The sequence below is a fragment of the Homo sapiens genome, chromosome 8 (genome assembly GCF_000001405.40).
Source record: "Homo sapiens chromosome 8, GRCh38.p14 Primary Assembly".
NCBI classification, from domain to species: Eukaryota; Metazoa; Chordata; class Mammalia; order Primates; family Hominidae; genus Homo; species Homo sapiens.
Window position 1 is genome coordinate 30,381,694 of NC_000008.11, and position 23,072 is coordinate 30,404,765.

At 43.3% G+C, this 23,072-nt stretch overlaps 1 protein-coding gene and 1 long non-coding RNA gene across 21 annotated transcripts in view, besides 5 other annotated features; one reads left to right on the forward strand and one right to left on the reverse strand.

The window, feature by feature from the left end:
- On the reverse strand, positions 426 to 3,708 carry RBPMS-AS1 (RBPMS antisense RNA 1). Its single transcript, NR_046205.1, has 3 exons — positions 3,451 to 3,708; positions 1,851 to 2,004; positions 426 to 922 (listed from the first exon to the last, which is right to left on the reverse strand). It is a non-coding gene; the product is annotated as an RBPMS antisense RNA 1 (long non-coding RNA).
- Positions 2,635 to 3,305: an enhancer, noted in NCBI's record as "H3K27ac hESC enhancer chr8:30241844-30242514 (GRCh37/hg19 assembly coordinates)". NCBI's record gives its function as "activates a minimal SCP1, AML or CMV promoter by ChIP-STARR-seq in naive H9 embryonic stem cells {active_cell/tissue: H9 hESC(naive)}" and the evidence as "EXISTENCE:reporter gene assay evidence [ECO:0000049][PMID:30033119]".
- RBPMS (RNA binding protein, mRNA processing factor) overlaps positions 2,848 to 23,072 on the forward strand; it is a 187,716-nt gene continuing 167,491 nt past the window's right edge. For all 20 annotated transcript variants that reach the window (XR_007060693.1, NM_001008711.3, XM_017012981.3 and 17 more), the window contains exon 1: positions 2,848 to 3,465. Coding sequence is in view for 19 of the 20 variants with exons in the window: in NM_001008711.3 (NP_001008711.1) it covers positions 3,400 to 3,465 (66 nt within the window). In the remaining variant the exon portion in view is untranslated. The remainder of the gene's footprint in view (positions 3,466 to 23,072) is intronic.
- Positions 3,306 to 3,977: an enhancer, noted in NCBI's record as "NANOG-H3K27ac-H3K4me1 hESC enhancer chr8:30242515-30243186 (GRCh37/hg19 assembly coordinates)". NCBI's record gives its function as "activates a minimal SCP1, AML or CMV promoter by ChIP-STARR-seq in primed H9 embryonic stem cells {active_cell/tissue: H9 hESC(primed)}" and the evidence as "EXISTENCE:reporter gene assay evidence [ECO:0000049][PMID:30033119]".
- Positions 12,192 to 12,890: an enhancer, noted in NCBI's record as "OCT4-NANOG-H3K27ac hESC enhancer chr8:30251401-30252099 (GRCh37/hg19 assembly coordinates)". NCBI's record gives its function as "activates a minimal SCP1, AML or CMV promoter by ChIP-STARR-seq in primed H9 embryonic stem cells {active_cell/tissue: H9 hESC(primed)}" and the evidence as "EXISTENCE:reporter gene assay evidence [ECO:0000049][PMID:30033119]".
- Positions 13,590 to 14,287: an enhancer, noted in NCBI's record as "NANOG-H3K27ac-H3K4me1 hESC enhancer chr8:30252799-30253496 (GRCh37/hg19 assembly coordinates)". NCBI's record gives its function as "activates a minimal SCP1, AML or CMV promoter by ChIP-STARR-seq in naive H9 embryonic stem cells {active_cell/tissue: H9 hESC(naive)}" and the evidence as "EXISTENCE:reporter gene assay evidence [ECO:0000049][PMID:30033119]".
- Positions 15,686 to 16,384: an enhancer, noted in NCBI's record as "OCT4-NANOG-H3K27ac-H3K4me1 hESC enhancer chr8:30254895-30255593 (GRCh37/hg19 assembly coordinates)". NCBI's record gives its function as "activates a minimal SCP1, AML or CMV promoter by ChIP-STARR-seq in naive and primed H9 embryonic stem cells {active_cell/tissue: H9 hESC(naive and primed)}" and the evidence as "EXISTENCE:reporter gene assay evidence [ECO:0000049][PMID:30033119]".

The following is a 23,072-nucleotide window of genomic DNA, read 5'->3' on the forward strand; positions in this document are numbered from 1 at the left end:
TGGGCACTGTCTAGATGCTGGGAATACAACAGTGAATAAGCCAGACAAGGATCCTCTCCTGGAACTTATTTTTTTTTGTGACAGAGTTTCACTCTTGTTGCCCAAGCTGGAGTGCAATGGTGCAATCTCGGCTAACTGCAACCTCTGCCTCCCGGGTTCAAGCAATTCTCCTGCCTCAGCCTCCCAAGTAGCTGCTATTATAGGCGTGCGCCACCACACCCAGCTAATTTTTTGTATTTTTAGTAGAAACGGTGTTTCACCATGTTAGCCAGGCTGGTCTTGAACTCCTGACATCAGGTGTTGGGCTCACCTCGGCCTCCCAAAGTGCTGGGATTACAGGCATGAGCCACCGTGCCCCGCCTGGAACTTATTTTTGTTTCTTATCCCAGAGATTTTTGACTTTTAACAATGGACAAAGTCCTGGCTTGGCTTAAAGACAAAGAAATCAGATTCTTTATTTGGAATTAAGCCATGCTTCCCTGGGTGGGGATAGGAGAGGTTCTCCGGGCATCCTGATATCACACAACATAGTTCACCTGCTCCTAAGTGAGGTCTGAGTGGAACTATTGACTACATTGTCATTTTTGTTGGGCCCATGCCGGGATCCAAGAAGACCATGCCCTTCTGTGGAGTATGCTCCATGACAGGCAAGAATGGCCAAAGACACAGTGCTAGCATCATGGGCCACCACGGGGTCCTAAGACCACCACTCAGCTATTATTGCTCGGGAAGACATTGCCCCCTCGTGGTTCCTCATGTAATTGAGGGAAGCTGGCAGTGCAAAGAGCTGCCAGTTAAGGCAATCAATACATCCAAACACGTGCAAAGTTTCCACATTCACTGTAGCCTTATCTCTTCTGAATGTCTTGGGTTGCAGTTTCAAGAGTTGGTTTATTTTCATCCAGGATACATGTTTGTTCCCCTTAGAGAGAAATCACATTATGACAGCAATTAAAAAAACATGTTTTCCTTATGGAAATCTTCCTGTTTCAAAATCTCCAAACCCCCAAGATAAATCCAATATGTAAATCCAAGTATCACTACTGTTTTTCTCCTCATAATGCCCTTAAAGCAAATATTTTCCTTGCTTTCTATAATCGGAAAGAGGATTCTGAGAGTATCTTGGCTCCATACCACTTTATTTTTTTGTCTTTTCTTTTTTTCCCCTCTGTGGAGAACAGAGTCTCACTATGTTGCCCAGGCAGGTCTTGAACTCCTGGGCTCAAGCAATCCTCTTTCCTCTATCTCCTTAAGTGCTGAGATTCCAAGTGTGAGCCACCATACCACTTTAAACTCCCTAAAGGGAGGGTCCTTATCTGCAACTCCCACAGCCACCCCCGCCCTATCCCCAGCAGCACTTAAACCAAGTATAAAGAATGTCTGGTGGGGGTGGGGAGAAACAGTTAAGCAAATACTGTAGTTGGAAACTGTTACCGGTGCAAGACAGGAGCAGCAGGCTGGGATGGAGAATTCCTGGGAGGAAGAAGTGGGGCAGAACCCACTGATATATGGAGTTCCACATTTATACCTTTGTAGCAGTCAAATCTAAGAGTTTAACACGGTGGCTCCACGTTGTAATCCCATCAGTTTGGGAGGCCAAAAGCAGGAGGATCACTTGAGGCCAGGAGCTCGAGCTCAGCCTGAGCAACAAAGTGAGACCCTCATTTTTCTAAAAAAAAAAAAAACCAAAAAACCATAAGCTTAAATGATCGAGTATTGGAAACGCTTTCTAAGGCCCTGGAAAAATAGAAGTTTTCTTAATAATAATGTTAGCTTCCATGTATTGTAAACCTAAACGAAGCAAGAATAAATGCTGGGTGCTGTATATAGCTCTATCAACCTATAATCACCTCGAAAACTCGAGGAGACACATTCAGCTGCTCCCATTTCACGGATGAGGAAACAAGTACGCAATCCTGAAGCTGGTGCAAAGCCCAGGCCCCCTTTCTTTTTCAAGCGTGCTTCCAGCCTCTGAAGTTCCTCCGTACGGACCCCCAGCTCTGCCTGCAATAAGGAATATTCACTTTGCCAACAAATATTTATTGAGTGCCTGCTATATACCCCTTAGCCCGTTTAAATAGCCGTGGGATTAAAAAGATAAATAGGGCAGGATTTTTTTTTTTCTTCCAGGAAGGAGCTTTCTGAAGGGTGAGGGAGAGGCCAGGTAAACAATCCCAGAACAGTCTGGTGAGAGTTGGGAGAGGAGTCGGGGGGCCGCGGGACGCTCAGGAAGCGAAGCGGGGAAGGCTCCGGGCGCGTCGCAGGACCCGCGCTGGAGATGGGTTTGAAGCCCTGTCCTGAAAAAGCCGGCCCGGAGTGGGCTGTCCCCGGTGTCCCTCGAGTTCTCATGCTGTCATTCAAGCAGCAGAGGAAGAACCGGGTCTGGCTCGGGAAGGGTGGGCTTAGGGCCAGGGGTGCAAATCCCTCGGTAAAAGCCGGCAAACTAAAAGTCGCACACATCCCAGGTCCCGGTCCAGGCCCCGGCGGGGCAGGGTCCCCGAAGTCCCGGGGCGCGCAGACGCCGGGGCCCCCGGGGGCCAAGGGAACGGCGGGACCCGACCTCCCTGCCCTCGGCCTCCCGGGCCCTCGCCCTCCGACCAGCCGCTGAGTCGGGGGCTGGGGTCGCCGCTTCCGCCCGCGGCCCGCTGCCCCTCCCCGGCGCGCGCCATCCGGCCGCCGGCCCCTCCTCCCGCGGGGGGCTCCGTCCCGCGCCCCGTCCCTCCGGGCTGCAGCCGGCAGCCCACGTCCAGGGAGGGCGGAGGGAGGAGGAGAGGCGCGGAGAGGAGGGAGGGGAGAGGGGAGGGAGGAAGGCGAGAGAAAGGGAGCTGCTTCCATCCCGGACTTCCCAGAGCCTGCCTGGAGCGCGTACTCAGCGGCTCTCGGGTCCCAGCGTCCCAGCCGCGGCCCGCGCTCCTCCGCCCCGCTCCTCCTCCTCCTCTTCCTCCTCCTCCTCCTCTCTAGGCACCCCCGTCCCCTCCTTCCAGCGGCTGCAGCCCCCAGCCCCAACTCTCCGCGCTTACTCCTGGGACGCGCGTCCTCGCCCCATCCTTTGCTTCCTTCCTTCCTTCCTTCTTCCTTCCTCCCCTGGCTCCCGCCCTCCCTCTCCAGGTCGCCCTCCCGGGGCCCGATTGTCTCGGTGCCCCGCTCCCGGCCCGCGCCCTGCCCCGTCTCTCCCTTGCACTTCCTGAGTCGCCCGCCGCCGCCGTCGCAGACTCGCCGCGGGAGCCCCAGCCCAACCCGAGCCCGACAGCCACTGCCCCGGCTCCAGCTCCAGCCCCACAGCCCGCGGCGCCCGCCCGAGGGAGCCCCGGCGCCCGGGGAAGGCTCCAGTGGGCTAGCGCGCCCTCGCCCAGCCCCGCGCCCCAGCCCTGCCCGGCCCGGCGAGGAAGGACCGGGAAGATGAACAACGGCGGCAAAGCCGAGAAGGAGAACACCCCGAGCGAGGCCAACCTTCAGGAGGAGGAGGTACTGGGCGGCTCGGTGTGGTGGCGGGGGCGACGCGGGACCCAGTGCGGGCGGCCGGCGGGGCGCGGGCCCGGGGCGCGGCGGTGGAAGAAGGTTCAGGCATGGCCCGTGCCCCGGACGCAGCCCCACAGTGTGGCCCGGGGAGGGTGGATCTCGGGAGCGTGTGTTTTTGTGTCCACGCGCGTCTGCGGGCCCCAAATTGCGTAACTCCAAGGACTTTTCGGAGACTTTTGTAAGTATAATGCTCAGCTTTGTTTGCCCGGGATTTATAAGTGGAACCGAGAGCTGACTCCTGGGTGACCTCAGATAATCGGGACTCGGAGGGTCAGGACTTAGGGCCGGGGCTGGAAATTGTGTATGGATTCAGGGTCGGGGGGGGAGCAGTTTAAGGAAGAAACTCGGGGGAAAGTTCTCGTTAAAAGATACCTCTATTCCCTGCCCCCTCCCTTTCCGTGTTAAAAGTTCTTGGTGAAATATCTTTCTAGCCGAGGTTTTTTGGATTAATAGATAACTCATCAGCCACATTCTTCTCTGCTGAGTCAAAGACCCCGAGCCTGGGCGGTGAACGCTTGTGATTTTAGGGGCCGTGCAGCTGAGGGGAGCAGAGTAAGAGGGTTAAAAACGCAGCAATTCACCAAATGCTCATCGAGGGTATTTTCATAGGACTTTGACTTCTGAGCATGCATTTTAGGTGGTGCGTCCGTAATCATGATGAAAGTTTTGTGACTGCGGAGCGTTCCTTCGGTGGAAACAAAATTGAGTAGATGTGGTCAGAAGGGGAGTCGGACTCAGGAACAAACGTTTCAGAATTCAGTAGGATATTTGTGGTATCCTACCAAATGACTCTTTTTGCAGGTACGTTATCTGGAGTCCAAGAAATTATTTCTGGCGTACTTCTTAACATCCCACACAGTTGAGTTCTTAAACATTCTAGAGGAACTTGAGAGTGTGTGTAGATGCAGGAAAGTGCACGTCTAAATATGACCCGAAAAGATTCACACAGGTATTGGATCCTGATATAGGTGAACACAGAAGGTAAACGGATTCTAAAGCGTTAGAATGTTGAGATCATTGTTGAGACACTATGTTGTGTGCAAACTTCAATTCTGATAGTGAAACCAAAATTGCAGAGGAATTCATTAATACATACAACTTCTCTGCACATTGTCCACTTGGAAAATGGTAACTATTTAGATGGAGAAGGTAGAGGAGCGAGACTATGCCAAACAATGCAAAATAAATAGGAGATTTTACTCGTCACCCAGTTGTATGGTAGTGAAAACCTAAATGAATTGCAGTCAGCCAAAAATTGCTTTTTCACCCGAGGACATTTTCTATTTTATTATAAAAGACTATTTGAAGAGTTGTTTACTTGCATGTTTTCTAATTACAATTGTAGGAATGCTACTGGCATTTCTTTTTTCAAAGCGATGGAGAGTTGAATGGTGTGTTCTGATTTTTTTTCTTGAACTTTACTGGCTGCTTTGCTATTTATTTTCCCTACCACTTAAAAAAATTTAAAAATAATGACAAGTGTGCTTTTTTAGGAATTACCATATTTAACTAATTCACTTACCATATCAAGATAATCATCGCTTCAGAAATCTTTCTGTTTCAGCTAGATGTGCAATCTGTTTGCTTCTCAGGGTTAGAATATTATATGAAACCATCTTTCTTTATTCACCCAGTTGAGAAAACTTTTTTTTTTCCTTTTGGTAGGTAGCAAAAGAGGTTCAATGTCCTAAAAATCATACCCACATTAAAATTAAGTATAGAAAAGTCACATTTTTCTGCTTGACCCCTCTTAACAGCTGCCAGGACCAAGGGATTGCCTGCCCTGTTCCTGGACGCTCCTCCGTCCTTGTGAGGTTGTGTATAATAATCGCTGTATAATCGCGGGCCATTGCAGTACAGTTGCTGCCTCTTACTTGTCCTGTTATCTGACAGCGTTCCTTTTCAGGTAGGAATGGCATGTGGCTCTAGAAAGTATCGGTCTTTTTAGCAAAACACTTGTTATGTAAAAAGTAAGGGGACACGTAGGAAGATTTCAGAACCCAAGTTGTCCAAGAGAGATGTCGTGTACAAAACAGTTAAGACCGTGAAGAGAGGGGGGTTTATAATGTCAGAAATTGAGGAAAAGAAACTAAGGTGGCCTGAATGATCCAGGTAATTTTGCCTTAATTTCCTATTTTTGGTTTATATTTTGTTCTTGAAAAACTCTTAACCTCTTTTTTGTTTTTTTCTTTCTAACCCTGAAAGCCACAGGTAAAATAAATAGAGTATTAGGTGAGTGCCATTAATGTGCCCGGCATTACACAAAACCACTGCACTGACCCTTTCCCTGCCCACCCATTGTATCAGCAACTTGCTCTTAAGCACATTTAAAAACCTTGGCGGTGGACTCCAGTAAACAGAACACACACATACAACATAGATATATACACGTAATGACGAGAGGAAAAATGTGTTTCGTTGTAATTTCTGGTAGCCATTGAACTGACATGGAAAAATGAGTCCAATCATCATTAAGGGAAAATAGTTTATTTCACAGATCATGAGGGTGGTTTGGGCTTTCTCCACATTGTAGAACCCAAGTTTGTTTTTTTCTGTGTTTCTAGTTTCGAAACGAATTCCTTCTATCAATCAGTGTATTTTAGCTTCTTTTGAGAGTTTCTAATGCTTACCCTGAAATAATTGTGCTGAAATGCCTCTTTGGTTCTAATTGTGTAGAATGAACAGTTCAGGATCTAGGAGTATTTTTGCAGCTTTTTAGGGTTGGAAGTTTTTGAGAACTTTGGCAGAACATGTATTAATACTTCTACTTTGGATAGCATTGAAAACTTTGAGGAAAAATAATTTAGGATTTGGCTAGCCAGTTGTGTAAGAGAGATGATACATTTAACTTTCCGATTTTTAATGTATTATTACATTAAATACATGTGTAATACACGTACAATGTATTATACATGTGTGTTCCCTAAGCAAGTTGTCCTGTAAAGACTAACCAGTTGTCAAAATCTCACTGAGATTTTTAAGGTTTGTTTATATATGTTTAGAGTATCATGTCATTTCTTATATTTTACAATTGATAAAATGATTCCTAGAATTTCTCTAATTGTGCAATCAAACTTTATAAAAATTGATATATAATAGATCCATAATTATTTGTCTTACCTAATCAGTTATAATTGATGAGTTTAAAGTATTTTCAAATATATCAAGACCTTTTCTGTCTTATAGCTTATAACTTATAGCTATAGCTATAAGCTAACTTATAACTTATAGCTATAGCTATAAGCTAACTTATAACTTATAGCTATAGCTATAAGCTAACTTATAACTTATAGCTATAGCTATAAGCTAACTTATAACTTATAGCTATAGCTATAAGCTAACTTATAACTTATAGCTATAGCTATAAGCTAACTTATAACTTATAGCTATAGCTATAAGCTAACTTATAACTTATAGCTATAGCTATAAAGCTAACTTATAGCTTGTAACTTATTTGTTGGTCACTGAATTTTCAAAATAGAAATTTAGATTAAATATGTGATTTGGTTTTTATTTCTACTTTTATCCATGTCATTGAGTACTTTTCAGGCTGATTGTAAAACATCTTTAAAAGGCCTTTTATTATATTGAAGCACTGGTGTTAATTTCTCCTTAAATTGCTTTGAATTGACTTGTACTTATAATAAAACTAAAAAAGCAAAAAACGTGGAAGTGTTGGAATATTGATCAAAAAGATGTGCAGAAATCATACAGTCAGTTCTTCTGAGGTTAATACAAACCTTTACTTTGCATTCCTTCTTTTAAAGTGCTAATTTTGCCAAAATATTGGGGTTGTAAAGAAAATTATTTCTTAAAATTGCTGCAGAGAGGGTAATGTCAGTTTGATGTGGCAACCTCAAATTTTCATTGAGCATTAAAGTCAATCTACATTGTGACTTCAGGAAAGTACAGAATGGTTTTATACAATTTAACCAAGATTGGGGATCTCTGTTATTCCAAGTTCAATCCAATGCAATAAACATATATTTCAGTTGTAGAATAGGATTTGGTGACAACTGATGCTCCATGACCCCTGTCAATATGGCATGCACTTTTGAGTTATTTTTCCAGTAGCGGTTTAAACATTTCCCTGATAAACCCTTGTGTGCATCTGCAGTCTTCTTCATTCCCAGTGGCATTAGTTTTCAGATGGGTAGTTTGGAAGGGGTGGAAGTTCTCTTCTGGAGATGGTTTCACATGATTTTCGTAGGTTCATGTTAATTTTTGCTTTAAGGATAAAAGTGTTCAGTGCTGGTGACAAGGCAATAAAGTGGGTACTTTTGTGCAGAGCAGTGGTGATGTAAATTAGTGTAGCTTTTCAGAAAGGAGTGACACTATCAAAATGTGTTCAGGCCCTTTGATTTAGTACCTTTATTTTTAGAAATTTACCCTAAGAAAACGGTATCATAAAGATTTATATATAGGAATGATTTTTGCAGTGACTTATGACAGTGACAATTCAGAGGCACTCTATCTAACATGGGAAACTGCTAACTAAATCATTGTATAATTCTGGAAGGGGAATATTGTGCAACCACTAAAGGCTCCGTTTTTAAAGAGAAAAATACATGGATTATAAAATATGTATTATATATAAATTCATATTTATTATGTATTATACATATGTGGTTATATACTATTCTCTGTGTTCTGGAGGTTAGAAACCTGAAGTCAAGGTGTTGGCAGGGCCACCGTGCTCTCTAAAGGCTGGAGAGGAGAACCTGTCCTTACCTCTTTGAGCTTCAGTGGCTCCAGACATTCTGAAGACTATATTTTTATTCTCATGTTGTAATATTAAATGAAAAGAACTGATTTTAAAGTTTTATGCTATGTGATGCCAGTTCTCAAATAAATGTATATTCATTCATAAAACCAAACATTAATTGTATCTAATTGGTGGATTACAGATCATTGCTATTTACTTTCTGATGCCTTTCGGTGTTTAAGTTTTCGAAAATGACCATGTGAACAAAAAGAATTAAATGTCTTTTTGCTTTGAGGGTTTCCTTGAATCGTGATATTCACAAAACCGAGGTTGGTCACATTTAGTTTTGCTCACAAGCCTAGCGGTGAGAATCAGGTCTGCCTTGTTCCTCAGACATAGTCTTTCTTAGTACTATTAGTATTTCTCTTACTCATTCCCTTATCTTGATTGTGTTAGTGATCTTCAGCTGCTCTCCTGTTCTGATGCTCTTCTGGAGTCCATCCTTACACCATACTGCTGGGCCCTCCAATGCCCCGAATCCTTCAGTGCTACTTGGTACTCCACAAAGTCAAGTGCGCACATGGCGTTCGGGATTGCCCTCACCTACCTGTATACTGTGATCCCTTTGCTAAGAGGAAGCCTAGGTCTTCCTCTTCTGTTCTCTTGATCTAGTCTGAGCTGCTTTTAAGCCAGGATTCAAGTTTTTCAGCCTACATTTTTGCAAGATCCCCCTCACCTGAATGTCCCATCCCATAGAGATGATTTTTCATTAGAATTTCAGTAAAAGTTACTTTCTGTTATGTCCATTTAACTCCTGGTTATTATTTTTTTCAGCTATTTATTTTGTATGGGTCTATGCCATTTTACAGTATTCCCAATGTTCAACACCTACCCCAGCACCAGGTAAATCTCCTCTGCACACATCCACACTTACATATATACACGTATATAATTCTTTGTAAATATATATGAAATAGCCTTATTGGTGAGGTTGGTGATTATGAGTTTGTACAGGTAATAAGAAGCAGCCACTCGTTTAATATTGAGGATCCCTTCTGTGCTCTGCACTGGGGAATTAGAAAAGGTGTGGATGGATCGGCTGGAAAATTACTTCCATCCCTTTGTCATTAGGAACCTCCATTTGCGAGCACAGGTGAGCCTGCCTGGTCCATCAAATAGCCACTGCTGGAAAATTACTTCCATCCCTTTGTCATTAGGAACCTCCATTTGCGAGCACAGGTGAGCCTGCCTGGTCCATCAGATAGCCACTGTCAGTGTGGGACTGCTTGTCCCAAGGTGCATTTGGGTTTTCACCATTAGAATTTGGTTTCTGCTGTGGAATTCCATTTGACCTTTTGGACGAGGGCTTCCAGAAGCCTTGGTTAGGTGGAAGAGCATGGACTCCCTGTGTTCCCAAACAAGCCTGCTCTGTGTGACAGCCACTTTGGAATGTTTGTGTTCAGTTTCATTTGGCACCTTAGTGTCTGCCTGGGGGTAGGGGAAAGGGAATGCAAATGTTCCTCTTGAACAGTGCTTGCTTTGGTCAAAGAAAAAAACTTAGGAAGGAATGAGGAGAATGAACCTTAAAAGCTGGTGCAGAAGTGGCTGCATAGCTCAGTGGGCTTGAGGCCATCTGGGACCAGGTATTTAAAATGGATGCTATGTTGGTATGAACAAGTCAGTTCCATGCCCCTGGTGGGGATGAGCTTATTTGTCATATGGGGATAACTCCTCACACTCACATCCCTAAAGTGTACCAGGAGAATATTGTAAACAATTTTATTGCACTATATTTTCTATGTTTGGCGGTGGAGGTGGGAGGTCCTTGATATTATCTGAAACATGAAGCTGAGTAAAGGGGATATGTCTGTGGTATCAGAAGAAAGCTGCTTGGCTTGTCAGTGTTGCTGATAGCAGGAAAAAGGAAATACTGAAATCTTTAGCCTGCAGAATTGTCAGAAATCTTTTTATCTATTCATTAAATAATTATCTCCTAACTTTTATTGAGTATTTACTATGTGCCAAGCTGATGAAGGGATTATGATGATTGTGCTGCTTTGATGGGGAAGTGGCTGAAGCCCTGAAAAGCTATGGAGCCAGGGTCTTCATGTGCAGATTCTAGAGATGCCAAGATCTGAGAGAGGCAGTTCCTGTCTTAAAGTTGCTCACAGTTTAATGGTGATGCCCCTGTATGAACAAACAGGTATAACCACGCCCGAGGTTAAAGTAGAGGTAGTTGAGTTGAGCACAGCCAAACCTGCAAGGAAGGGATGGAGCTGTGTCACAGAAAGCTTTAAAGAAGTTTAAAGAGTCAGTTCTTTAAAGATGACGTATGAGCTAAATCTCAGTTAAGATTTTGACTGATGAGAAAAGGGTTCAGACAGTGGGGAAAAGATGGGCTAGGCAAGGAAATCGCTCTGTGAATGAACACACAGAGGCTTCAAAAGACCCTTTTGGGGAAGAGCAAGCAAGGCATGGCAGGAGAGAAGAAGGGGAAGGAAGAATGAAACTGGGGAGGGGGCACTGGCCCACAGTGGGTGGAAGAGCTGCCTCTGCATTAGGGAATTGGACTTTGTCCTCTGATGGGGCACCAGGGTGGATGTGCCCCAGAAGGCAGCAATCTAGGACGTCCCAATGGGCAGGGGGATGTGGCGAATTTTGGAAAAGTTGTTGAGAACCATTCTTGCAGTGAGGTTTCTGCTGCAAGAGTCCTGGTCTCAAAGTGAGGCAGCAGCCTGGCAGTGGCAACTGAGGCAGAGATGCCAGGTGTTCAGGGCCTAGATAACTGTCAGATGTGCGGGAGAGAAGGCAAGGAGACAGCCTAGCAGCCTTTTGGGTTTCTCCTTCGGGTGGCTAGCTAAGTGACGGTTGTATTTGTAGGAATAGAAAATAGAGATGTGGAAAGGGTAAGAAAAGAAGGTACCTAGGAGATGAAGATGTTACTGAGTCTGGGGTGCAGAGGAGAGGTCTGATCTTGAAATACGATTTTCAGAACAATTCAAGAACATAGAGCTGATAATTGAAAGCGTGCATACTGGGAGTGAGTGCCCAGAAAATGGAATTCCTGCTTTCTAGGAAACGTTGTGAGGGTTAGCAAGGAAAGAGATACAAAATTTAGTGAAAATTTAGAGTCATGTTAAAAAGTGTTTGGGAAGGGGAGAGAATTGAAAATAATCAAGAAAAATGGAAACTTAAAAATTAATTTAGGAACATAAAAATGTATTACATATAATCTGCCTGTTTTTAAAGGGTTTGGTATACTTAGCCATTGGAAAGCCTGAGGGGGAGCTTAGAAAAATCTGATATATGGTCTTTCTCATATGCTTTTTTTTTTGCTTTGCTCAAAACTCAGGAACCTGTTTATAAACCTCCCAAACTTGCCATTAATTCCCAGGCTTTTACTTCTCCAACTCTCCATTTGCCAACCCTGCACCTAAAAGGAAAGATCAAGCTACCATAAAATCTGGAGAGGCGTGAGTTTTTTTACAGGAAAAAATTTCTAAGTTGCTTTTATCTTTTTTGACTTTTTTGGGGAAAAGGAAGAGTAGGATGAGCCTTTGGCCAGCAGCCCAAAGACATCTAATCTGTGGGTTATATTTTCATTTTCTTTTTTTTTTTTCTTTGAGACGGAGTCTTGCGCTGTCACTCAGCCTGGAGTGCAGTGGCGCCATCTCACTGCAACCTCCACTGCCTGGGTTCAAGCAATTCTGCTGCCTCAGCCTCCCAAGTAGCTGGGACTACAGGCACACGCCACCACACCTGGCTAATTTTTGTATTTTTAGTAGAGACAGGGGTTTCACCATATTGGTCAGGTTGGTCTCAAACTCTTGACCTCAGGTGATCCACCCGCCTCGGCCTGCCAAAGTGCTGGGATTACAGGCATGAGCCACCATGCCTGGCCATATTTTCATTTTATTCAATTTATACTTTAAAAGTTTGCTGCCTTTTTCAGCCCAGCTAAGTGTCAGCTCAAAGTAGTCCAGGAACTTAAAAAGAAAACAACTTGCATTTGTATTTCTCTTAGGTTTTAACTCTACTGCACCTATTATGGTGACGGTGCATATTGTGTAAATGCTAAAGAGAAAAAGGAAATGGCAGTGATAAATGCCAGTCACACCGAGAAGATGGATTCACATTCCAGGTTGTAATACAGTATTGTTACACAAATTTAAAATGCAAAGGGAATGCTTAGCCAGTTCCATTCTGTCAGCCTTTAGGGTTTTGCAAAGGTAGGAGACATCTGAGAATCTCCAAAATGAGGTCTGGCTCACCAACCTCTGCAAATAAGTTATAGGACAACTTTACTTTTAATTAACTTTTATTTCTCATGAGTTGATTTTTTTGTGACGTTCCTCTTGATTTTCCCAGATTCTCATGTCACCAGGGTAGATAGGCTGGCAGTGGCCAATGTTGTTCTAAGAGAAATCCTAAAGACTACCCAATTTTTTTTTTTCTTGAATCCGCAGGATCCTGTTTTGTGAAAATTCCTCTTACGCCCACCTATAGGATAGACAGTGGAGGCCCCCCCTGGGAGAAAGTGTACACAGAAAGTGCTATCTAATTACAGAAGTAGCAGAATTTCCTTTGTGCTCAGAGGGGAAGTGCTACAAAAGTGTAATTACTTTACCCAGCATGTGTGATTTACGGGACTTAAAATGTGTGAGTTTCCAAAGAGTCATCTGTTTTTAAATACAGTATCCCTCCCAGCCAGGCAGGATGTGTTTGGGGAGGTGGGAGTGAGGACATGTACTTCCGTCCTGTGCCTGCTGCAGGATGCCTGGTGACAGGGGACTGAAACCACTGGTACTTGCTGCCCCTCAGGGTCTTGCTTATCTGAGTAGAAGGAAGAAAATCAGCAAAGGGCTGGAATCTAGTCAGCTACTCCCAGACCAGATCATCCACTGCTCTCCTCTTACCTTCCCAAGCCAAATTCTTTTTCTAGGACCTCCAAGACTTTTCCCAGTAATAAGCAAAAGAATTGTTAGAGTGAACCCTGAGACCGTTTTTAAAATTTATTTATCTTTCTTTCTTTCTTTTTCTTTTTCTTTTTTTTTTTTTTACCTGTTTTTATTTGAGATGGAGTCTTGTGGTGTTGCCCAGGCTGGTCTTAAAACTCCTGGGTTCAAGCGATCCTCCCGCCTCGGCCTCCCAAAGTGCTGGAATTATAGACGAGACCATTTTTATTGCACAAATTTTCTTTTCAATCTTACTTTTCCTAATATGCTTAAGAAAATCAGTGGGAGAATTGAAGATCAGGTGCAGTGGCTGGGCCAGGTGGCTCACACTTAGCACTTCATGAGGCTAGCACTTTAGGAGGCTGAGGCAGGCAGATCAGTTGAGCCCAGGAGTTCGAGACCAGCCTGAGCAACACGGCAAAACCTCATCTCTACAAAAAAAATTAGCCAGGCGTGGTGGCGTGTGCCTGTAGTCCCAGCTACTTAGGAGGCTGAGGTGGGAGGATTGCCTGAGCTCGGGAGGTCGAGGCGGCTGTGAGCCATGATCGCACCACTGCACTCCAGCCTGGACAGAGTGAGACTCTGTCTCAAAAAAAAAAAAAAAAAAAAAAAAAAAGACCAGGTGCATATCCAGATGTAATCAAACCTGTAAAAACACTTAATGGTTTTTGCATATTAATGGATTGATTAAACATTTATGGAGTTGGTGTCTACTCTGCTTTTAACATTGCTCTTTGACAAACCATATGAAGTGTTGCCATCCCATGTTTTGGGATAAGAAAGCTAAGGCTCTGAGAGATTAAGTAATTGGTCTGAGGTTTTACAGCTGGTGGATAGGAGCTTAAAATTCTCCAGTGGCATATGAGGTTCATGTGATCCGGGCCCTGCTGGTTTCTCTGACCTCATCTGCCAAGAATCACAGCCTCATTCATTATGCTCCAGCTGCCTGGGCTTTCGTTAGGTGTCTCCAACTTGCCAAACTTGTTCCTGCCTCAGGGCCTTTGTGCAAGCCATTCTGTATGCCCGGAAAGCCCTACACTCAGACATTATCAGCCTCATCCTTGCCATTCATTTAGATCTCAATTCAGATGTCACCCCAGAGAGACCTTTGACCTCCAAGTTTAAAGTAGCCCTATATTCCCAACCCTTTTATTTTCCAAATAGTACTTCTTACCTCCTGACGTTGCCTTGTATGCTTATTGTACTTATTTGGTACCCTTGGAATGTAACTCCCTGGCAGCAGACTGCCTGCCTTGTTTAACACTGTACAAACCTCAGATGCCTAGGACAATGCCCAGAACTGTCCAATAAGTTTTTTTGTGAATTGACTAGAATGTAAATCTGCTTTACAGACGCCAAAGCCTGTCTGATACACTGTATCATCATAAACCTTTTTCAGCAGTTTTCAGGTTAAACTTTATATTTCTGCCTTGAAGATGATCATTTCTGGTCCTCATCCCCACTTTATTGCATACAAAACCGCAGTTGTCATCTCACACACTTTTAAGCTGGAAATGTTCAGATGGTAAGTGATAAGAGCCCTTGTCGGGGTATGCAGCAGTTTTTCACACATAAACGAATCCTTCCCTTTTGTCCACTTAGGATGGGAAACCTACTAATTCCACAGAACGAGGAGAGGGATGTGGGCCTGGAGTGTAGGGAATGCCTAAGTACCAGTAGGGCAAGGTGAATTTGATTCCTGTTTTGCAGATGTGACTGTTAGGTTGTTAGGGTTAATTTAATAACCCAGGTGGAATTGATTTGGAGATAGACTTACCACTTCTGATCCTTTGATTGGATCTAGCCTCCAGCTCAATATACCTTCCTCAATTTGCCTACAAGAAGAAAAAGATCTGAAGCTCAGCATAATGCTGGCTTTAGCCAGAAGAATCCAGCCTTTAAGCCATCTATATGTGTAGCCATGAAGGACCTTCTAATATGCCTTGTGAGCCCTTATGGGGCCACCTCACAGCCACAATTTATGCCCACGTGTCAGCCTCACAGACTCAGGAGCTGTTTCTATTCATTGTAAAGCAGACCAGATGACATTTCAGGATGAAAGAAATGTAAGTCATCATTACATACGGCATCAGGCTAACAAGTCACCTGTTAGTTGAGCAGACTAGTTAGTTGGTGAAAATGCATCGATGAAAATGCAGACCATTGGATTATCCTCATTTATAGCATTTATGTCACACTTCACCTTCAACAAACTTGGTTAACTTAACCATCGTCCATTACCTGATAGTCTTAGAACCAATAGTATATAAATCCTTATAGAAGTTATTTCTTGACCAATCAATTCATGAGTATTCTTTGTTTTCTCTCTTATTATCTCATTATCTCTTTGTTTCTAAGGGACCTAGGACAAGCCACTGAAGCTGCTTGTCTTTGACAAGTCATTTTAACCTGTTTCCTTAACTAAAAGGTAGGGATTGTATAGACAGCACCTGTGGTGCATTAAAAGAACCATAAATCTCATTTTTCCACTTTCATTCCACTTTCCATTTCCCCATTGTGATGCAGAAAGCTGCCGTGGCGTGCCAAGACACATCCAGGGTGGGCTGTTTGGGGGGAATGGTTTTAATTTTAAGCCTTTTAAGTGAAAACCCTTAGACCTTGCCTCTGTTTTGTTAAATTACGATTCTAACAAAATAAGAAAAAATTAGTGAAGCACTAGACTTTGGAAACTCTTTCCTGTATATTTGAAATGATTTTCTTAAGACTGCTTTTCTTACCTGAAATTGTTTTGTTTTTTCCTAAGCAAATGAGTGCCTCTCCTTGAGAACTGGGTGGGAGTCTCTGGGTGTGAGAGAACAGCAGGAAATGACCCTTTCTAAACAAAAGGACTCTTTAAGGCCTATCCTGAGTCTTTGTGTTTTGAGGAGGGGTTATGCAGAAAACCAGAGCTAGGAAATGAATCTCTGCATTAGCCATTCTAATGGGGGAAGGGAGAATGGAGAACATTCTCTCCTTGCACGCCCTCCCAAGTATCTAATGCCAGGGAACACTTACTGTGAGATCCAAAGAAGTGCAGAAAAGACCCTGGGAGCCTAGGTGGTGGTTCTTCAGGAGTGCGTGGCTTCAAGTCCCCTAAAGGAAAGAAAAAACCAGGTTGGGCAGAACGACACCCAATGTGATGTTCACCTTTAACCTGGGCTTCCAGAATTTGCTTGAAAAAGCTCATGATCAACAGAATGCAGAAATAAATACAAAATGAGGAAAGTATGAGAGGGATTTTGCAAGATCTATTTGTCATATATATCTTTTTGTTTTTGTTTTTTTTCTCAAGACGGAGTCTTGCTCTGTCACCCAGGCTGGAGTGCAGTAGTGTGATCTCAGCTCACTATAACTTCTGCCTCCTGGGTTCAAGTGATTCTCCTGACTCAGCCTCCTGATTAGCTGGAATTACAGGTGCCTGCCACCATGCCCGGCTGATTGTTTTTATTTTTAGTAGAGACGAGGTTTCACTGTGTTGGCCAGGCTGGTCTTGAACTCTGCTGATCTCAAGTGATCCGCCTGCCTCGGCCTCCCAAAGTGCTGAGATTACAGTGCCTGGCCTGTATATATGTTTATGATCGATTTATCATATATATCTTTATGATCTGTTTATCCATAGGTAGAGGTTAGAGTGTTATGATTTGCTAATAAATACCCAGTAAATAAATCAAAGATTTGAATTACTGTGTTAATGAGAAAATGAACTTTGAGGAATGCAAGTCCTTTTAAATGATCAGGTCCAGAGGGACTTTAAAATGAGACCACAGTCAGGTCCTACTCCCCTCTTGAGCTATATATTCACCTCTCTGTATTCACTGCTTGCTGTTGCTAGAAGTAGCTATAAATTAACTAATAATGCTGCACTGGACACTGTAACTCACTCTATAGTTTAACAATGTATATAGCCAATCACTAATCAGTATAATTTGTGTAAACCAATGAGAATTCCTGGCAAACAACTTTATATCAGCCCACTCCCTTGTCCCTGCTCCTTTTTTTTTTTTTTTTTGCCTTTAAAAAGCCACTTGTAACTGCTTTTTAATTGGAATGCATAAGCCCCTGGGTTGCAGTCTTCAAGCTTGGCCAAAATAAGCTCTACTTATATTAATTTTGCCTCACCTTTTATGTTGCTATCAACTTCTTTTCTCAATCTAAGCTGAAGAGGGAATTAATAATCATTGCTGTGCGAGGTAGTGGGTCTGTAATGAAGAAATGTTGAGCCTTGCCCTGCAGTGGAATGTTCCCTCCTCTCCTCACTTCAAAGTGACCATTCATTGTATCAGTATTTGTGCAAGGAGATCCCAAATTTAAAATGCTAGAAAAGGGGATAGGTCTTATCAAAATTATTTTGCCTTTATAAATTCTTGCTGTCTTGGAGCAATGAACTTCTCTGCTCTTCCAGGGACACTCCTGTTTTTTTTTTTTTCAAGGAATATAAATCTCACTAATAATTAGAAACACACGTCTTGTTGAAAATGGTTTTGTGGTTTACTTCGTTTTTAGAACATTTGAAAACGACAAACATCTTTTCTAAGAAAAAGCATTGTTTGTTACACCACCACTGTTTGTAGGCTTTTCATTGTAACTATATTTTTAGAAAGGCTGGCTCATGTGTTTGATGGGGACTCTGTGTTGAGGGTAAGGGGCTGGTTTATTTACTCCACAGCACCAGATGCTTTACAGAATTAAAGATAAGATTAAAGCTGCCACTCAGATCCCATTATGAAAGGGTTTTGTTTATATATTAAAGGCTTGGAAGACTCTTTATCTTAGATATGAAGCCAGCAATGCAGTATTCAAAAGAGATGTGATCATTGTAAGTTCCAGAGTTGATAGGGAAAAATTATTCTCACTGAAAATCCCAGTGTCTGAAGTGTTGGTAGGTTTTCTTTTTTTTTTCTTTTTTTTTTTTTTTGAGACAGTATCGCTGTGTTGCCCAGGCTGGAGTGCAGTGGTGTGATCTCGGCTCACTGCAGCCTCCGCCTCCCAGGTTGAAGTGATTGTCCTGCCTCAGCCTCCCAAGTAGCTGGGACTGCAGGCGCCTGCCACCGCACCCAGCTAATTTTTGTATTTTTAGTAGAGACGGGGTTTCACTATGTTGGTCAGGCTGGTCTTGAACTCCTGACCTCAGGTGATCCGCCTGCCTCAGCCTCCCAAAGTGCTAGGATTACACATGTGAGTCACTGCACCCAGCCGGTTTTCTTCATTTCTTTTTTCTTTTGAGATGAAGTCTTGCTCTATTGCCCAGGCTGGAATGCAGTGGTGCGATCTCAGCTCACTGCAACCTCCGCCTCCGGGGTTCGAGCTGTTCTCCTGCTTCAGCCTCCCGAGTAGCTGGAATTACAGGTACACGCCACCACACCTGGCTACTTTTTTTTTTTGTATTTTTAGTAGAGACGCGGTTTCGCCATGTTGGCCAGGCTGGTCTTGAACTCCTGACCTCAAGTGATTCTCCGTCCACTCCCCAGCCTCCCAAAGTAGCTGGGATTACAGGCCTGAGCCACCACGCCTGGCCCTCATTTTCTTAATACATCATTTAAACTCCTAATTTGAGAAAGGTTAACGTATAACGTTGTAACAATTGGTAAGATACCAATTTACAAATATGGAAATATATATTAGATTCATTTGGAGGAGGTTGTATATGGTATACGATTGGCATATGTTTTTCATTCTGAAAGTATCAGTTATTTTCCTGTTATTATCTGTGGTAACATTGCTTGTTTTTTTTGTTGTTGTTGAGACAGAGTCTCGCTCTGTCTCTGTCGCCCAGGCTGGAATGCAGTGGTATGATCCCAGCTCACTGCAACCTCTGTCTCCCGGGTTCAAGCGATTCTCCTGCCTCAGCCTCCCAAGTACCTGGGACTTACAGGCGCCTGCCACCACACTCAGCTAATTTTTGTATTTTTAGTAGAGATGGGGTTTCACTATGTTGACCAGGCTGGTCTCAAACTCCTGACCTCAGGTGATCTGCCTGCCTTGGCCTCCCAAAGCGCTGGGATTACAGGCATGAGCCACCACACCCGGCCACATTGCTTGTATTTTTAAAATAAAAGATTAAAAAAGAAAAGTGTGATCCATTCTCTAAGCTGCTTGCCACCATGCAATATTGAGTCAGAAGAATGGTTCTCAGATCCCGTGCATTAAGAACTATTTGTGTATCAGCCTTCTAAAGCATGGCGAATAAGACAACATACGCAGTGGAGACACGTTTCCTGGGATCATTTGTGGTCGAGATGGATTCAGGAATGTAGCGTGTCTGATTTTATTGGGTGCAGGAACTGCTTTTTCTATAGCTCTTGGTATTCATGTAACTGATGGTTAACCCCAAATCAAAGTGAAAATGTCCTGAGCAGGCATGTTTGTCCATTCTCTCCATGTTCTTAGATCATCAAAGGGAAGTTCTTGCCCTTTGCAAGACTAGCATCTGTTGCCATTTGGTCATAGTGCACCCAGCCTGCTGACTCTGTATCTTCAAAACAAAAACAAAAGCCAGTAGGGAGGGAGCAAAGACTCAAAAGTGCTGTGGGGCTTTGGAATACTGTGAGTTTCTGATTTTGGTAAATGTACATCCAAGATGTTTTAACCATTAAATGTCCCCTCTTCTACATTCCATTAAACCCCACTGGCCTTTAATCAACATGAGAATTTCTCTTGTAATATCTTGGGTTGTGATTAGACGGATAGAGGAATCCTATTGGTGTGAGCTTACCTTGAAGTCAATGAAAAAGTGTTATTTTTCCTTTTTTTTTTTTTTTTTTTTTTGAGACAGAGTTTCGCTCCTGTTGCCCAGGCTGGAGTTCAGTGGCACGATCTCAGCTCACTGCAACCTCCGCCTCCTGGATTCAAGCGATTCTCCTGCCTCAGCCTCCCGAGTAGCTGGGACTACAGACATGCACCACCACGCCCGGCTCATTTTGTATTTTTAGTAGAGGTGAGGTTTCTCCGTGTTGGTCAGGCAGGTCTCGAACTCCCGACCTCAGGTGATCTGCCTGCCTTGGCCTCCCAAAGAAAAGTGTTATTTTTCCATCTACTGGTACTTAAAGTCAGCCCAGGCAAAGCCTGGGTGCTGCTCAGTGCAGGAGACTCAGGCGTGGAAATGCAGCAGATTGACCTGGGTCCCTCCTCCCTTAAACCAGTACTCTGAAATCTCACCACGTAACTAACAAGCCCTGTACTTTCCAAATTGACATCACAATCATAGTCTTGCCGTGGCCAGGTGGGGTGGCTCATGCCTGTAATCCCAGCACTTTGGGAGGCTGAGGCGGGTGGATCACCTGAGGTCAGGAGTTTGAGACCAGCCTGGCCAACATGGATAAACCCCCATCTCTACTAAAAATACAAAATTAGCTGGGCATGGTGGCACGTGCCTGTAATCCCAGCTACCCGGGAGGCTGAGGCAGAAGAATCACTTGAACCCGGGAGGCGGAGGTTGCAGTTAGCCAAGATCGCGCCATCGTACTCCAGCCTGGGCAACAAGAACGAAATTCTGTCTCAAAACAAAAACAAAAACAAAAACAAAAACGCTTGCCGTAAATACCTTTCCTCCCTCCCCACGCCTAATGGATTAATTTTTAGTCTTATAAATTAGGAAATTTCTCATATAGGGCTGACATAAAGAGTAAGCGTTATTGTTCATGTAAAGCCCTGAAATAGTTTGCCTTTATCGAAAGCTCTAGGGTATTTTCGCAATTATTTTGTTGTGTTAAAAATATGGAGAACTACCTTCTACCCCAGGTGGTCCTCAGCAGAGCTTCTGTGTGGAGCAGAAAGTTTTCTCCTGGGATATTTTTGCCTATTTTAAGCCCTGTCTTATGCTTATTTCTGTTGGTCATTTCTCCCAGCATTTCTCAAAGGAAAGATAGTAACGTATTGCTTCTATTTTAGGGATTAAAGAATGATAAATGTATGGGGTTTTTAATTTTATATTTTAAATTGAAGCTACCAAGATTCATAAGCCATTTGTTCATCTAATTGGATCACATTGTGTTCAAGTTTCTTTTCACTGTTTTTGTTTTTTAAAATACAATCTTAAATAGTTACCCTTTCTCTCCTCACCATCATTAGAAAACACAAGTAAGCAAAAAAAAAAAAAAAAGATTAAAAAAGGAAACAATTCTATAATTCCCTCACAACCAGTGTTAATACCTCACTGCGTATCTTTTACATGTTCTTTTCTCTGTGTGTGCACACATGGCATCTATCATCTGTTTGAACAAAAATGAGATCATAATAGGTTTTCCATTTATTTCACTTAACAGTATTTTATGAACATCTTTGCATGCCATTGGATTCATTTCTCTCTCTCTGTTTTTTGAGTCGTCGTCTTGCTGTGTCCTCCAGGCTGGAGTTCAGTGGCACAATGCGATCATAGCTCACTGCAGCTTTGAACTCTTGGCCTCAAGCCATCCTCACACCTCAGCCTCCCAAGTAGCTGGGACTACAAGTGTGCACCACTATGCCTGGCTAAGTTTTTCTATTTTTTCTGTAGAGACAGGGTCTCATTATATTGCCCAGGCTGGTCTCGAACTCTTGGCCTCAGGTGATCCTCCCGCCTCAACCTCCCAAAGTGTTAGGATTACAGGCGTGAGTCACTGCATCTGGCCAATTGGATACATTCCTGCAGCCAAATTTTAAATTCTTCCTATTGTGCTATAGTATGGATGTGCCTTAATGTATTTGACCCACCCCTTATTATTGGGCTTATTATTGAACTTATTTCCAGCTTAAGTGATAGAAACAGTGCTGTACATCCTCCTAGCTAAATCTGTGTATACACCCTTAGTGATTTCCTTAGCTTCAACTCTTAGAAGTGGAATTTCTGGGTCAAAGGGCATGCATTCTTTTAAAGATATTTGATGTTTATTGCCAAATCTTCTCTAGAACACTATTTCCACTAAGAAAATCAGCAGGCCCATTCCTTGCATCCCCTGCCCCTGCCATTTAAAAATGTCCAAAGATTGTTCCCTCACTGTGGAGTTTTTCATATTTGTGTCCCATCCGTGACTCAGAATTAATATTCCAGCCTCATCTGTATAACACCTGGATGTTATATAGTGACTTTTTTTTAACCTCATTTGAAGACATATCCCAGTTGTGTTTCTTATACTTCACTGGATACAAAAATGCTTAGCAGATAATTTCTGGGGGTGTCATTCTTGAGTTTATCGGACACCGTGAAGTGTGTTGCTTTTTGTGTGTTAGGTGCTTGCTATATTTTTCTGGCTATTAATGTCTGACGATGAGGCCAGTATTTTAGGTGTTGTGAGTGCAAGTACAGAATTTGAGTCAGCTCTAACATTTGTCAGGTAAAGCAATAACACTGCCAATTAAAACTTTATTGTAAGATGCATCCTGATTTCATAGATGTTACAGTGTGGAAACATGTCTCAGAATCAGTGGATATGTTATTCTCTCATCTACTTTTCTGGTCACATGGTTGGTTTGCTCTTGAGATGAGAACAGAGACACACTGGTCAGTTTGACATAAGTTTTGGTGGACAGTGAGCCAAGTATATCCTTGGAAAGAATTTTATAATTACAGTTGAATCAACAATGCTTCAATGCCTTTTTTTTTTTCTTTTTTTTTGGAAATAGGGTCTCTGTCTGTCACCCAGGATGTGGAGTGCAGTAGCATGATCATAGCTTACTATAACCTCAACCTCTTGGGCTCAAGCGATCCTCCCACCTCAACCTCCTGAGTAGCTGGGACCACAGAGCTGTGTTGCCACACCCTGCTAATTTTTTTTTTTTTTGAGACAAAGTTTCACCCTTGTCACCCAGGATGGAGTGCAATGGCACCATCTTGGCTCACTGCAACCTCCACCTCCCGGGTTCAAGTGATTCTCCTGCCTCAAGCCTCCGGAGGAGCTGGGATTACAGGCGCCTGCCAC